The sequence below is a fragment of the Homo sapiens genome, chromosome 2 (genome assembly GCF_000001405.40).
Source record: "Homo sapiens chromosome 2, GRCh38.p14 Primary Assembly".
Lineage (NCBI taxonomy): Eukaryota > Metazoa > Chordata > Mammalia > Primates > Hominidae > Homo > Homo sapiens.
Window position 1 is genome coordinate 35068953 of NC_000002.12, and position 16560 is coordinate 35085512.

At 33.4% G+C, this 16560-nt stretch overlaps 1 annotated feature.

Annotated features, from left to right (window-relative positions):
- Positions 13151-13445: an enhancer, noted in NCBI's record as "tiled region #1307; K562 Activating non-DNase unmatched - State 24:Quies". NCBI's record gives its function as "activates a minimal TATA promoter and a strong SV40 promoter by Sharpr-MPRA in K562 cells {active_cell/tissue: K562}" and the evidence as "EXISTENCE:reporter gene assay evidence [ECO:0000049][PMID:27701403]".

Here is a 16560-nt window from a genome sequence, read left to right on the forward strand (position 1 = left end):
CAGTGAGGAAAAAAATAAAGCAAAAAGAATTTTTTTAAAAAATGAACAAAATCTTTGAGAAATATGGGGGTATGTAAAGAGAACAAACTTATTAATTACCAGCATTCCTGAGAGAAAGAAAAAGAAAACAATCTGGGAAATATATTTGAGAGAGTAATTCAAGAAAACTCTAATTTTGCTAGAGAAGTAGATATCTAGACACAAGAAATCCAGAGAACATTTGTGAAATACTATACAAAATGAACATTATCAAGGCACACAGTCACCAGATTGCCCAAGGTCAACACTAAATAAAAAATCTTAAAGGCAGCTAAGGAAAAAAAAGGAACCCCATCAGGCTAACGGCAATCTTCTCACCAGAATCCTTATAAGCCAGAAGAGACTGTGGGCCTATTTTTAGAATTCTTAAAGAAAATAATTCCAATCAAGAATTTAATATTCTGCCAACCTAAGGCTTATAAGCAAAGAAGAAATAAAACATCTTCCAGACAAACAAGCACTAAAGTAATTTATTACTACTAGACCAGCCTTAAGAAATTCCTAAGGAAGTTTATATACAATGACATAAAAGTATAATATCTGCTACCAAAAACACACACAAGTACATAGCCCACAGACCCAATAAAGCAACCACACAATAGAAACTGCAAAGGCACCAGCTAACAAATTCACAATAAGATTCAAACCTCACATGTTAATATTAAACTTGAAGGTACATGACCTAAATATTCCACTTCAAAGGCACAGAGTGGCAAGTTGGATAAAAAAATAAGACCCATCCATTTACTGTCTTCAAGAGACCCTTCTCACATGTAATGACACCCACAGGCTGAAAGTAAAGGGAAGGATAAATATTCATTATGCAAATAGAAATCAAAAAAGAGCAGAGGTCACTATCTTTTATATCATATAAAATAGACTTTAAAACAACAGTAAAAAAGGATGAAAAAGGGCATTATATAATGATAAAGAGTTTGATTCAACAAGAAGACTTAACTATTCTAAATAAATAAGTACCTACTGTGGGAGCACCCAGATTCATAAAAGAACTACTTCTAGGCTTACAAAAAGACTTAGGCAGTCACACGATAGTCAGGGACTTTAACACCCCACTGATAGCATTAGATTGATCATTGAAGCAGACTCTAACAAGGGAATTCAGGACTTAAACTTGACACTTCACCAATTGGACCTAATGGACATCTACAGAATAGTCCACCCACCAACCACAGAATATACATTCTTCTCATCTGTACATGGAACATAGTCCAAGATTGATCACATGTTTGGCCTTAAAGCAAGTTTTGATAAGTTTAAAATAATCAAGATTCTACCAACCATACTCTACCAACCAGCTCTGTTACTACCAACCAACTCTATTTCACTATAGTGAAATAGAAATAGAAATCAATACCAAAAAGATATCTCACAACCACACAATTACATGGAAATTTAATAACTTTCTCCTGAATGACTTTTGAGTAAACAAGGAAATCAAGGCAGGAATTCTTTTTAAAAATTAAAGTAAATGAAAACAGAGGCACAATATAACAAAAGCACTGAAATGCAACAAAAGAAGTGTTAAGAGAAAACTATGTAGCAGTAAACATCCACCTCAAAAAGTTATAAAGATCTCAAACTAATGATCAAGTATTACACCTAGAGGAACTAGCAAAACAAGAACAAACTAATCCCAAAACCGGCAGAAGAAAAGAAATAACTAAAATAAGAGCAGAAATGAATGAAATTGAGACTCCAAAGTCCATATGAACAATCCAGGACACAAAAGTAGGTTTTTTTAAAGGATAAACAAGATTGATAGACCACTAGCTAGATTAACAAAGAAAAAAAAAAAGAAAAGATGCAAATAAGCACAATCAGAAACAATGAAGGTGACATTACAAACAATCCCAAATAAATACAAAAGATCCTCAAAGACTATCATGAACACCTCTACTCACACAAACTAGAAAACCTAGAGGCAATGAATAAATTCCAGGAGAGACACAAATTTCCTAGATTGAATTAGGAAAAATTTGAAAGGCTAAACAGTCCAACACTGAGTTCCAAAATTGAATTGGTAATAAAAATCTGCCAACTGCCAAAATTCCTTAACCAGATGGATTTACAGCCGAGTTCTATCAGAGGTACAAAGAACAGCCGATACTATTCCTACTAAAACTATTCGAAAAAACTGAGCAGGGGAGACTCTTCCCTAACTCATTCTATGAAGCCAACATCATCCTGATGCCACAACCTGGCAAAGACAAAATGAAAAAAGAAAAGTACAAGCCAATATTTCTGATGAGCATATTTAAAAAATCCTCAACAAAATACTTGCAAACTGAATTCAATAGCACATCAAAAGGTTAATTCACCACGATCAAGTAGATTTAATTCCTGAAATGCAAGGTTGATTAAACATACACATATCAATAAATGTGCTTCATCAAAGAAACTGAATTAAAAACAAAAACCACATGATGATCTCAATAGATGCAAAAAAGCTTTGCTAAAAAACAACATTCCTTCATATAAAACCTCAAGAAACTAGACATAGACAGAACATATGTCAAAATAATAAGAGCCATCTATGACAAACCGACTGCCAACATCGTATGGAATGGGCAAAAACTGGAATATTACCCTTGAGAAACTGAACAAGCCAAGGATGCCTATTCTCACCACTTTTGTTAAACATAATACTGGACATGCTAGCCACAACAATCAGGCAAGAGTGCCTATTCTCACCACTTTTGTTAAACATAATACTGGACATGCTAGCCACAACAATCAGGCAAGAGTAAAAAATCAAAGGCATCCAAATAAGAAAAGAAGAAGTCAAATTATCTCTCTTCACTGATAATATGATTCTATACCTTGAAAACCCTAAAGACTATGCCAAAAGATTCCCGGAACAGATAAACAACTTCAGTAAAGTTTTGGGATACAAAATCAATGTATGAAAATCAGTAGCATTTCTGTACACCAATAAGGTATAAACCTGAGAACCAACTCAAGGAGGCAATCTCATTTTCAATAGTCTCACACAAAAATAAAATAACTAGTAATATATCTAACCAAGGAGGTGAAAAATCTCTAGAGGGAGAACTACAAATCAATGCTGAAAGAAATTTTAGATGAAAAACAAATGGAAGAACAATCCATGCTCATGGATTGAAGAATCAATATCATTAAATGTTCATACTGCCCAAAGCAATCTGAAAATTCAATGCTATTCCTATCAAACTACCAACTTCATTTTCCACAGAACTGGAACAAACTATTCCTTTTAAAACCTTTTATTTTAGGTTTGGAGGTACCTGTGAAGGTTTCTTATATAAGTAAACTCATGGAGGTTTGTTGTATATATTATTTCATCACCCAGGTATTAAGCCCAGTACCCAATAGTTATCTTTTCTGCTCTTCTCCCTTCACCCACCCTCCCCACCTCAAATAGATCCTAGTGTCTGTTGTTTCCTTTTTCATAGAACAGACTATTCTAAAATTAACTTGAAACCAAAAGGCCAAATATCCAAAGCAATTCTAAGCAAAATAAACATAGTTGGAGGCATCACATTATCAAACTTCAAACTATACTATCAGGATACAGTAATCAAAACAGCATGGTACTGGTATAGAAACAGACACATAGACCAATGGAACAGAATTGATAACCCAGAAATAAAGCTACACAAATACAGCCACCAAATATTCAACTAAGTTGCCAAAAATAAGCAATGAGGAAAGGACTTTCTATTCAACAAATGGTGCTGGGATACTTGTGTAGCCATATGCAGAAGAATAACACTGGATCCATATCTTTCACAATATATAAAAATTAACAGATGATGGATTAAAGAATTAAATGTAAGACATCAACCTAAAAAAACCCTAGCAGAAAACCCAGGAACCATTCTGAATATCAGCCACGGGAAAGGATTTATGACTAAGTCCTCAAAAGCAATTGCAACAAAAGCAAAAATTGACAAGTTGGGACACAATTAAACTAAAGAGGTCCTGCACAGAAAAAGAAACTTATCAACAGGGTAAACAGGCAACCTACAGAATGGGAGAAAATATTCACAAACTATGTATGCATCTAACAGAGGTCTAATATCCAGAATCTATCTGAAACTTAAGCAAATCAACCAGCAAAAACCAAATAACCCCATTAAAAAATGTGCAAAATACCTGAATAGATACTTCTCAGAAGAAGACAAACAAGAAGTCATCAAGTATATAAAAAAATGCTCCACATCAGTAATCATCAGAGAAATGCAATTCCAAACCGTGATGAAATACCACCTCACACCTGTCAGAATGGCTATTAATAAAAAGTCAGAAAACAGCAGATGTTGGCAAGGCTGAAGAGAAAAAGGGTACACTAAAGCACTGTTGGTTGAAATGTACATTAGTTCCATCATCATGTAAAGCAGTCTGGAGATTTCTCAGAGAACCTAAAACAAAACAACTATTCAACCCATCAATGTAAAGAAAACAAATTATTCTGCAGAAAAAGACCCATGCATTCGCACGATCACTGGAGCACTGTATATGGTAGCTAGACATGGAATCAATCTAGGTGTCCATAAATGGTTGCTTGGATAAAGAAAATGTGGCATATATACACCTTAGAATAGTATGCAGCCATAATAAAGAATAAAATCATGTCCTTTGTGGCAACAAGGATGCAGCCAGAGGCCATTTTCATAACTAAATTAATGAAGGAAAAGGAAAAGAAAATCTTTTTGCATCAATCTTTTGTGTGGAAATGTGTCTTCATTTGTATAGGAATGGAATCAGTAGGTAGTATGTCAACTCTCTGCAAATTCTGTAGAAAACCACTGCAAAACTTTTGTACCGGTTTGCATTTCCACTAATGTTGCATGAATTTCAGTTGCATGGCATCTTCACCAACAGTTGATGTTGTCTTTCATTTCATTTATTTATAAATCTTGTAAGTGAGAGCTAAACATTGGGTACTCATGGACATAAATCTAGGAACAATAGGTAATGGGGACTACAGGGCGGGAGGGAGTGTGGGAAAGGGTAAGGGTTAAAAAACTAACTGTTGGGTACTATGCTGGGTACCTTGGTGATGGGATCATTTGTACTTCAAACCTTAGCAGCACTCAATGGTCCCATGTAACAAAACTGCACATGTACCCACTGAATCTAAAATATGAGTTGGAAAAAAAAAACCTAAGATAATTGGTTACCAGCATACCTGCCCTAAAAGAATGTTTAAAAATAGTTATCCAAAGATAAAGAAAATGATAATAAAAATGAACCTTGAAATAACAGGAGGGAGAAATAACACAGTAAGCAAAAATATGGGAAATACAATACTTTTCTTCTTTTCATGAGTTTTCTGATGTGTTCGTAGATTTGAAGACTCAATATTATTGAGATGTCATTTTTCCCCAATTACTGCTGGAGCCAACATGTTCCTAAGCAAAATCTGATTTTTTATTCATTTTCTTAAAAATTGACAAGCTATTTCTAAAATGTTTATGAAAAAGCAGCAGGTCTAAAATAATCAAAGCAATATTGAAGAACAACACTGGAGAATTTGTACTATTTGTTTTTAAGTTCCAAAAGAGACAGTAGTTAAAAAAGGCTTGTATTATGAATTTGTGTTCAAGATATCAGTTTTCTTTTATGATTTTTGCTTTTTGTGTACTATGAAATTTTTTGCTCTTTGAGAGAGTTAAGCAAATGACAACAGATATACTAGGAAAAATATTTTAAGACACATATCAGAAAATAACTTATTACACAGAAAACATTCAACAATGAAACAAGTATAAAAATAACCAGTACAGACATTTTCTTAAAGAGAAAGTATAGATGGAAAATAACCATAAAAAAAGATACTAGATAAACTCAAATTAATACCACAAAGGATAGCATTATACACCAATGAAAATGGCTTAGAAAAATGAAAGACAACATCAACTGTTTGGTGAAGATGCCATGCAACTGAAATTCATGCAACATTAGTGGAAATGCAAACCGGTACAATAATTTGGCAGTAGTTTTCTGTAGAATTTGCATAGAGTTGACATACTACCTACTGATTCCATTCCTATACAAATGAAGATACATTTCCACACAAAAGATTTATGCAAATTTATAGGAGTTTTATTCAAAATTACCAAAAACTATATGAAATGTCATTTATATGGCATTGTGGAAAAGGTAAAATTACAGCAACAGGCAAGTGATCAGTAGATGCTTCTGGTCAGAGGTGACTATAAAGGGATAAAAGGAAACTTTGTGGAGTTGATTGTGGTGGTGGTTATGTAACTTATGTGTGTGCAATATATTTATATATACATACATACACACAGATATCTGTGGATGACTTCACGTTGTTCTCTAGTGTTTCTTTGTTCCACACACATTCACATCTCTATTCTGTTTCTCTTTGTTCATGGAGGACTAATTTGATACATTTAATTCATAGGTATGAGGCATCCTTAGAATCACTATTAATATTAATTATAACTTTTATTCTGGTATTAATTTTGTGTCAATTGTTTAAGTTTTTATTCTACCATTTTTTAAATGATATTTTAAATAATTTTTTTAGAGATTTTAAAGAGTTTTCAAGTGTTCAGCTTCTTAAGTCATAGAGAACAGAAGAGATTTAGGGAGTAATGTATATGTCTTACAAAGTATTTTATGTTATACTTAAGTTCATGGATCACATACAAAGGTTTTAAATTAGACAAGGATTTGGGCCCAAGGGAAAAGAATGGTCATATTTACACAACATAAAACTCAGTTATTTTGTTCATTTTGATAAATAATGAGAAATGAGCTAATAGTCTAACCTCAAACTCACTTTTTTTTGTTGTTTGCAAGCTATTATAGACTTCATGCTCTTATAAAATAACCAGTTTTTTTTCCACAGTTTGGTAATATTACAATATAAAAATTTGTGAGAATTATGTTTTTACAAATTGAAATAAAATTTCCAGCACAATTCATATCCATGATCTGCTTTTGAAAAGAATAAAATACACAATACTGCATCTTTTTGTTAAAATGCATAACAGTTTAATGAATACTTAATGATTGTAGATATCATTATGTTATGAACTCTTATTTTTTATGATACTTTTTTCTTCTTTGTTGCCATTGCTATATATTAAAAAATATAAGTAATGATTAGAGGAGAATTCTAATCGTTTGATAATTTTCATTTGTGAACTATAATTATATCTTAACCTAGAAAGACAAGTTGATCCAATGACTTCTGTGAAAAAATAAGCCTAGGATGCTATATATTCCTCTCCACTTCCTTTTATCGGAGCAAGCTTCCTTGAATAACTACTCAATGATGGAATCCACTTATTTCCATTTTGTCCATTTGACTCAACTGAAACTATTTCTAAAGTAAATTACTACTTTTTCATTGGTAGGTATTAACAGCTTCCTATCAGTATTTTAATAGGGGTTTTAGATCATTTTATCATTTGAAATTCTTTGTTCTGGAATGAATTTTTACATTTAATAAATAGAACAAGTCATATTTGCAGCTAATTGCTTAGATAATATTTACACTAATTTGAATAAATGAGTAAGAATATAGTATTTCAAGTTAAATTCCTATTCTCTTACTTAACCCATCTCTGTACTCAGGAAAGAGGCAATATTTGCATTTGAACTTTCTGGATAAAGAATTGCTACATAATTATATTCTAATGTATTCTGACTAATTTGAGAAGCTTCAATGTTGAAACTCAAATAGAAGATATGAAAGTTCTCAGAGGTGTGGAATTTCATTTTGACCTGAGTTCTTTCTGTGATTGCAGATAATGCTGTTCATATCACATGAGATTGAATATTTTTTAAACCTAAAATAATATTAATACCTATTCTAAAAATTCAAATAATAAATTCTTCCATTGTGTCATCTGAGCCACCCCAATTCTTACAGATGAAGTAAGCAACTTACACAGGACACCTTTTAAAGCTATGTACATTTTAAAATAAAGGTTGTAATCAGATACACATCTTTAAAAGATTTTAGTCCAGCCTATCTATACTTTGACAAAGATGGCTTTCATGGATATAGAGCTAGCTATAAAATATAATGCCAACAAGCTATCATTGATATATAGTTTCATGTAAAAGAAGAGTTAGGTATATGGGAGAAAAGCCACAGTCATCTTGAGTAAATTGTAGCTTATTAGAACCAGTCAGGGTAATCGGAAAATTTCAATCCAATGTATATTAGATTATGCCCCCCAAGGTATCAGTGCAGCTGTCCAGATCCCTCATTAAAAAGACCTTTAGCCAACTGGACTTATCAGTATTTCACTGTTGTTTCCTCTTTGCATGGTTACATATAAATGCTTGATTTCCTCGTACAATTGGTCCTTTTCTTTGTGTTTCCAAATCTAACACTTATTTTCAAATTACTAGCAGTGTAAATCAAGAAAATTATCACCCTAAAAAAATTCCTAAACCACAATTTATGAACCCATTAAAATATCTATAAATAATTAGTAAATACTTAGATTAAAATGACTGGAATTTTTATCTTCAGACTCATATTTTGCGTTATTTAACTGATGGCTGCTGCTCAAATAACCAGGTGGCCTGTCAAAACAAAATAAGAATAGAACTGAAAGCAAAATAGTAATGTATCATATTGATTTGCAAACAGCTGCTATAAAGAGGACAAATGAAAACAGTGAATAGATAAGCCAGTAAACTAAGAAGTAACACTGACATCTTTTGAATCTGGCAAACCAGAGTCTGTTCAGACAATGGATTTGTTTTGAATTGCAGAGGAAATACTACTTTATGCAAGTGGGTGATAAACTTATGGAACACATTGCAACAAGCTATGTACTGGTAGGATATGTAATGAATTTTAGAAACATTTAGGCTGATTTACAAAAGGCAGATCAATAAACAGTGTCTAAAGGAAAATGAAGTATCCTAACTACTGAGGCCTCTGCTTGCTTTCAGAGCCCCTGTTAACAAGCAAATATTATACTAGGAGGACCATAGTTATAATGTAATATATAAATTCTTGTATTTCTGTATTGTAATTATCAATCTCCTTTCTCAGCACCAGCAATATATAGTCTCTTCAGAATTTATTCCTCCCTGGATATTGAGCTACGTTATTATTCCTCATGGCTCCTTGTCCAGTTCATATTATTCTAAATATTAAATGTTTGGGTAGTACTTTATGCCTTTATGATATTAGTGCAATAGGTGATGAAACTTACCAAATCTGTGGTATATCTCCACAATAAAATGAACAGACTTAAGCACAAAAGATAACATGCATATTAATTTGCTGTATTGTGTTAAAAGTCACCCTCTGTTTTCAGCCTTCACACATTCTGGAAAACAAACAATAATACATCATTATGTAACAGTTTTTAAAACTCCATTATTTTCTGGATATTTATTAGCTATTGTGGATAGTAATATCTATGACATATTCCTTGCCTTAATAGTAGTTATAATCCACTTGGGGCCATTAAAAATAAAATAATTTAAAAACTGAGAAACTGATTTTGATTTGTCAGTTGAATGATGCAGTGTAAACTTTCTACAGCAGTTTTATAGGTAAATGTTATCACTGAGTATAAGTATGGTAAACGCAGCCTCCATCTGAGATATTCTTAAGGCAAACTAGAGTGTGAAGAGGTTTCTGGCATGAGCTAACAGACAGAGTCTACAGAACACTTAGTATTATAAGAAGTGGTATGGGTAAAAAGTTCAGCTGGACACAAGTGATGAAATAATTTACATCCCAATGTGCCAGTTCTGGGGATGTTTGCCCTCAGATCCATTCCCACCTTTTCTTTGCTATGCTGTGTGTAGCAGGGAGGATAATGGGCTTCATGCAGATTGGTTTTCATCCAAGTTGAACCAATAGGAGACACTGGAGAAAACTAGGAAGGTGGTAGGAAGAGAAAGGCAAAGAAAGATGTGCATCTCTGCCTCTGGTGGTCTCTCTGGCAGTTGCTATACCCTGGGCTTCAGGTTCTAGTAAATCACAACACCCATTTGTCCTTAGAAAATAGAGCTAGAAGATGGCTTTCTGCTAATCTCTACCTCTCTCTCCTTTCTAGTTTACCAATTTTTCTTTTACTTTTTGTATTAGTCCATTTTCATACTGCTGTAAAGAACTGCCTAACTGGGTAATTTGTAAAGGAAAGAGGATTAATTGACTCACAGTTCAGCGTGGCTGGGGAGGCCTCAGGAAATATATGATCATGGTGGAAGGAGAAGGGGAAGCAAGGCACCTTCTTCACAAGGCGGCAGGAAGAAGTGTCAAGCGAAGGGGGAAGAGCCCCTTAAAAATCCATCAGATGTCATGAGAACTCACTCACTATCACGAGAACAGTGTGAGAGAAACTGCCCCCATGGTCCAATTATCTCCACCTGGTCTCTCCCTTGACACATGGGGGTTGTGGAGATTACAATTCAAGATGAGATTTGGGTAGGGACACAAAGCCTAACCATATCACTTGTGTAAAAGTTTCTTTCTTTAAATTCCATTTGTTTTCAATACACAGAAAAGTTTCTCAGATTATTATTTAACCAGTGCAGGCTAGATTCCAATTAATGTAACTAAACTAGAGTTTGGATTTCCTATAGACAAAAAAAGTGCCCTTTAGGATTATAGAAGGAAGATTTTTATACCTTAATTATCAAAAATTTTCTAAAACAATCCTTTACAGGGTAACATTTTTAGAAACAGTGTAGTTGTACAATTTACATGATTTAAAATTCACCAGTTTTAAGTGTAACAAGTCAATAATTTTAAGTGAATTCTCACTTAGCATAAAATATTGAAAGTTCAATCATGTTGCAACAGGTATCTGCACTTCATTTCATTGCCAAATAATATATTGTATGGATATAGCACATTACTTATTCCATTCAATAGTTGGTTGACTTTTGGATTATTTCCATATTTTGACTATTAGGAATACTGCTATGATAAAAATTTGCCCAAAAGTCTTTGTGTGGACCTGTGTTATTATCTCTCCTGGGTGTATACCTAGGAGATGAATGGTGGGGTCCTAGGCCAAATCTAACATTTTAAGAACAAGAGCTTTCTAGATACTTCGGCATAGCACATGTATTACAGTGAGAAATTTCCCATGAAACTCTTAAATTTTGCCAATTTACCAAAGTCTGTGGCATACTGGATAATACCTACCATAGTAAATTTTTTGTTGCTCAATATTTTAGTGTTAAGAGGGAAGCACAATGCTTGCTGGGGTCTTTTGCATTGTATTGGAACTATGTTCCAATTAGGGAGGTAAATTCTTAACTGATTTACCAAATAATGCAAAAGGCTTCCGTGTCCGAATGGGCCATAGTGCAAAAGGAGACTTTCTATAAGGTCCAGGCTCACTGGTAAGGAGGATCTACGAATTGGTACTCTGTAACCTCATAGGTTCAAGGGCCTGATATATCTTGAAGGAGATATGGAAGTCTCACAAGACCTGACCTATGAGTCACAGTACACATTCTGAGAATTTTGTAGTCAACTAATACTGTCTTTGGCAGTTCTGAGAGTTTTTCTTTGCTTGACAGTGGGCTTAATAGATCCTATGATAAGCCTTAATGAACAAATCAAGAGGAGGCTCCCAGGTTCTCAACCGGTAAAAAGATATTATCATTTTTAGAGACAGCTCCTGGCTTCTTACACAGCTCTCATGGAGTCTGAGTTCCTGAAAATGAATACCAAGAAAACTCTGACTCAAGCAGCACATCATCATTTGGGACCATAAAGTTAGTCATGCCATGAAATGCTTCATCAATGTATAAAAAGCACATTATAATAACATTGGCTGATATTCAAAATGAGAAGCTTTACTCTGTATTTCAGTGGTTCTTTAAAAATTAGTGTGATGTAACAGTGTCTAATAAACTGAAAAAACAAAAGCGAACTAATTTGCTAGTGATCCCAAATTTTAAAAACAAACAAACAAAACCCACAAACTTATGAAATGCATAATTGCATTCAGTTTGTTAGACATTAAAGCAGGATTCACATGTTATCTCTGGCTGGTGCTGTGCATTGTTACACTTTGCTTTTATTTTAGCAATGCATTTAAAAATTACAAATAGATTCATGTTTTCAAACCATAGCTGTGTCAGACACATTTATTACTGTCTGTGAAGCAAGAGTTTTTATTTGAATAATGCGTCATCATTTTCACATGCCAGATATACTGTTGCTTTAAAGTGTTTCCAGAGAAATAAGTCATGAGTTTGTAACTTACTTTATGCAGGAGAAAACAGCTTCTGTTTACCATAATTTCCTCTTGTAGCATTAAATGAAAAGAAGTAATATTTGTTATAACAGCAGGGGTTAGCCTTTTGATAAAAAGGGTATTTTATTTAAAAAAAAATCTGCTGAATAATTGCCAGGAGAGTCATTTTCACATCATGGGAGTAGAGAGGTAGCTTCCCAAATGGTTTGAAGCAAAGAACAACTCATCTTAGAGAGTTCACAGCTGGAGTAATTCCAACAGTGAATGATAAACTTGCTTGATATGACACAGTGGGCAGCTGGTAGAAAAAGTGATATTGATTTTAAATGTGATGGTAACTTCTTATTTAAGGATTTTAATAATAACAATACTTTAAATATAGTTCTTCCTAGTTTTCCAAGATATTCAAATTAATTTTTATGTCTTCATTAATTCTGGAATAAAATTGTATGCAGTAAGTAGAAAGTAAATACTAGATTTTCTTTTCAAAAAGAGGCAAGGTGAGCTCAAATATTGCCACTACTCTTCCAAAGGCAACAAACAAATCCATTACGGGAATTAATTTCAGGCATGAGTAATTTCCTGAAATTAAGTCAATTTCTTCAGAAACACACTGTAAACACCATTTAGATAGTCTTACTACTTTTTTTCCCATTAATGCTTGATCTTGCATTCAGTGTGGTATTCCAAATCTACATATATATTCACATTAAAACCAACTGATTCAATAACATCACAAGAATTCCTTAGAGTTTTTTATTTGAATAATGCCTCATATTCAAATATAAAATGGATTGTTTTAAAGCTTTTAAACAAAAATAAATTATATGCTGGAAAAATACTTTATAACACAAAATTGCATCCATCTACATACAAAAGAGTCCAGAGAGAAAGGCGAGGATCTTGTAATGATGGGAATGGCATCAGTCAGGAATGGTTTTAAACAACTCAAGAATTGAATCGAGAGTGAAGGAGGTGGAACAAGGCGGGGCTAGTCTGCATTCCCCTACACCCAGTCCTTCCTCAGTGTTGTCAGAGTCCCCCAGAGAGCTGAAACTCCACTCCCACTTGGCTTCACATTACATACCTCCTAGTTCACAGGACTCGCTTAGACCAAGCTTCCATTTTGACCTGGCAGCAACAAGGTGGAGTGAAGTGTTTTGGGAAGGCACTATAGTTGGCACTGTACCCCTCCTCCAACTTAGTATGAGCAGGATCCAGATGGAACCTGAGTTTCTGTCCTCCACCAGGCAATAAAGTGAAATGAGGTGATACTGGATAAATGCTTTATTTTCCACTCTGATGTCAGCAGAGCCCAGAGTGGACTGAGCTTATACCCCTACTGAGTGAATGAGACAGTGCTAATTGAAACTGCTTTTACTGGGAAGGTGTCAGTGTGATTCGGGGGAGAACTGTTCTTTTCCATAATCTTCTTCATTGAGGAAGTGTGAATCAATGCTCCACATTTATAAGTATGATTTTAATGGGGCCTACCAGGGGCATGAACATTTATCTCCACCTGAACCTGTATGTAATACCTAAACAGAGTGACTTAAGTTCTAAAAATGAGATTAATGAGGATCCAAAATCTTAGAACATAATACCCAAAATGTCCAGTGCACAATCAGTAGTCACTCATCATACCCAAAGCCAGGAGAACCACACTTAAATATGAAAAGACAATCAATGGGTACTGACATTGAGACAAAATAGATGTAGGAATAATCTGACAAAAATTTTAAAGCAGCTGTATAAAAATGCTTCAACATGCAATTATCAACCACTTAAAAAATAAAATAATAGAAAATATGAGCAAATATTAATAGAAAATACAGAAATTATTAAAGTAAAATTTCAAAACTTTAAAATAACTAAACAATCACTGGATGGACTCAATAATACTACTTATAATCACTCTTAAAAAGGTAAAATAAATATCTAGTTATAAATATAATTGGTAAAACACAAGTTCTATATACCGAAATTTACCAGATACCAATAAAATTAATTAAATAAGATCTAAGTAAATGTAGGTATATCATATTTACAAATGTGAAGTTCTAATACAGTAATAATATCACTTCTTCCCAAATTGATATGCAGATTAACACAATACCTACCAAAAATCCCAGAACAATGTTTTGTATGGAAAAGCTTATATTTAAATTTCACGCCGGGTGCGGTGGCTCACACCTGTAATCCCAGCACTCTGAGAGGCCGAGGCAGGCAGATCACAAGGTCAGGAGATCGAGACCATCCTGGCTAACATGGTGAAACCCCGTCTCTACTAAAAATATAAAAACCTAGCCTGGCGTGGTGGCAGGTGCCTGTAGTCCCAGCTACTTGGGAGACTGAGGCAGGAGAATCGCGTGAACCCAGGAGGTGGAGGTTGCAGTGAGCTGAGATCACGCCACTGCACTCCAGCCTGGGCGACAGAGTGATACTTCACCTCAAAAAAAAGATAAATAAATAAATAAATAAATAAATAAATAAATAAATAAATAAATTTCAACGGAAAGAGTGAGGAATTAAAATGCTAACATAAAATGCTAACAAAAATTTAAAAAACAATAACAAAGTGAGAAGAATTGCTCAATTTTACGCTGAGATTTATCATATGTCTGCAGTTGTTAAGTCAATATGGTTTTGCTGAAGGAATAGACATACTGGCCAATGGAATAGAGAATGCAGAAACAGACTGACACAAATATGACCATTCTATATTTGAGGAAGGTGCAAAAGCAATTAAAATGAATAATGGATAGGCTTTTCAATAAATGGTGCTGGAACAATTAGATATCAGTAGACAAAAAAGGAGAAATAAGAACAAATAATTTTACATAACCTAGACAACATACACAAAAATTAAAATAAACCATGGACTTAAATGTAAAACTTAATAAACTTTGAGCAGAAAGCAGAGGATAACATCTTTGGAACCAAGTGCTAAACAAAGGATTCTTACACACGACATGAAAAACGTGATCCGTAAAATAATAATAAATTGGACTTCATCAAAATTCAACATTTTGTTCTAGGAAAGACCCAGTTAAGAAAAAGAAAGGAAATGACAACTACAGATTTAGAAAAAATATTTATAAACCACATATCTGAAAAAGTCTGGTATCTAGAATATACAAATAATTCACAAATCTCAACAGCAAAAACAAGCAATTCAATTATAAAATGGACATGTATAAAAATATAAATTTTACCAAAGAGGAAAGACGTATGGCATTAGCCTTTAGGGAAATGAAATTAAAAACAATAATAAAATATTACACACATATCAGAACAGTTAAATTAAAAAACAGTGATAATACCAAATGCTTGTGAGGATGCAGAAAAACTGGATCTCTCATACATTGTTGATGAGAATGTAAACTGTTATAACCACTTTGAAAATAGCTTGGCATTTTCTTATAAAACTAAACATGCAGTCACCATACGACTCAGCAATTGCTCTTTTAGATATCTAGCTCTAAAAAATGAACTTATATTTGCGCACATATCTCCACAAGAATGTTAATAGAAAAAAATAAAATATCCAAAGTTTACATATTGTAGAATTCCTTTAATATAGCATTCTCAAAATGTCAAAACTACAGAGAAACAGAATATATTAGTGGTTGCTGGGGCATGGATGAAAATGCGGGGAGATATGTATAAATACAAGGAGGTTATGAGAAGGAGTTCTTTCATGATAATGAAAATATTCTGTGTCTTGATTCTGGTAGCAGTTATATAAATCTCTACACTGGATAAAATTGCACAGAACCTACACACAAACACACACACACAAATGAATTCAGGTTTTAAACATGGAAATTGAATAAGGTTTGTAGACTAGTTAATAATTATACACTGATGTCAGTCTTCTGGTTTTAGCATTGTACTACAGTTATATAACTTGCCACTACTGGAGTATGTTGAGCAAAAGGTACATGAGACTCTGTACACTTTTTTGTATATAATTATTTCAAAAAATGATTTTAAAAAAGAATAAAAACCAATTTAAAATGTAGAGTATAATGTTGCCTTTTCAAAATGTGGGCAAGTACAAACATAAAATGAAATTCCAGCGATAACTCAGTTACATTATTTCTCTACTTACTGAGTAAAAAGAATTCTGAATTTTATATCTGTTAAGAATTTTTTTAATTGTCAGAATTATGCGAGGATGTGAAAATGTTAGGTTCACAATAAGGGATTGAAAGAATTTGCCCGACAGAAACAATTATACTACATTTTAATTAAAATGCAAAAGAATTATTTATCATCAATGATC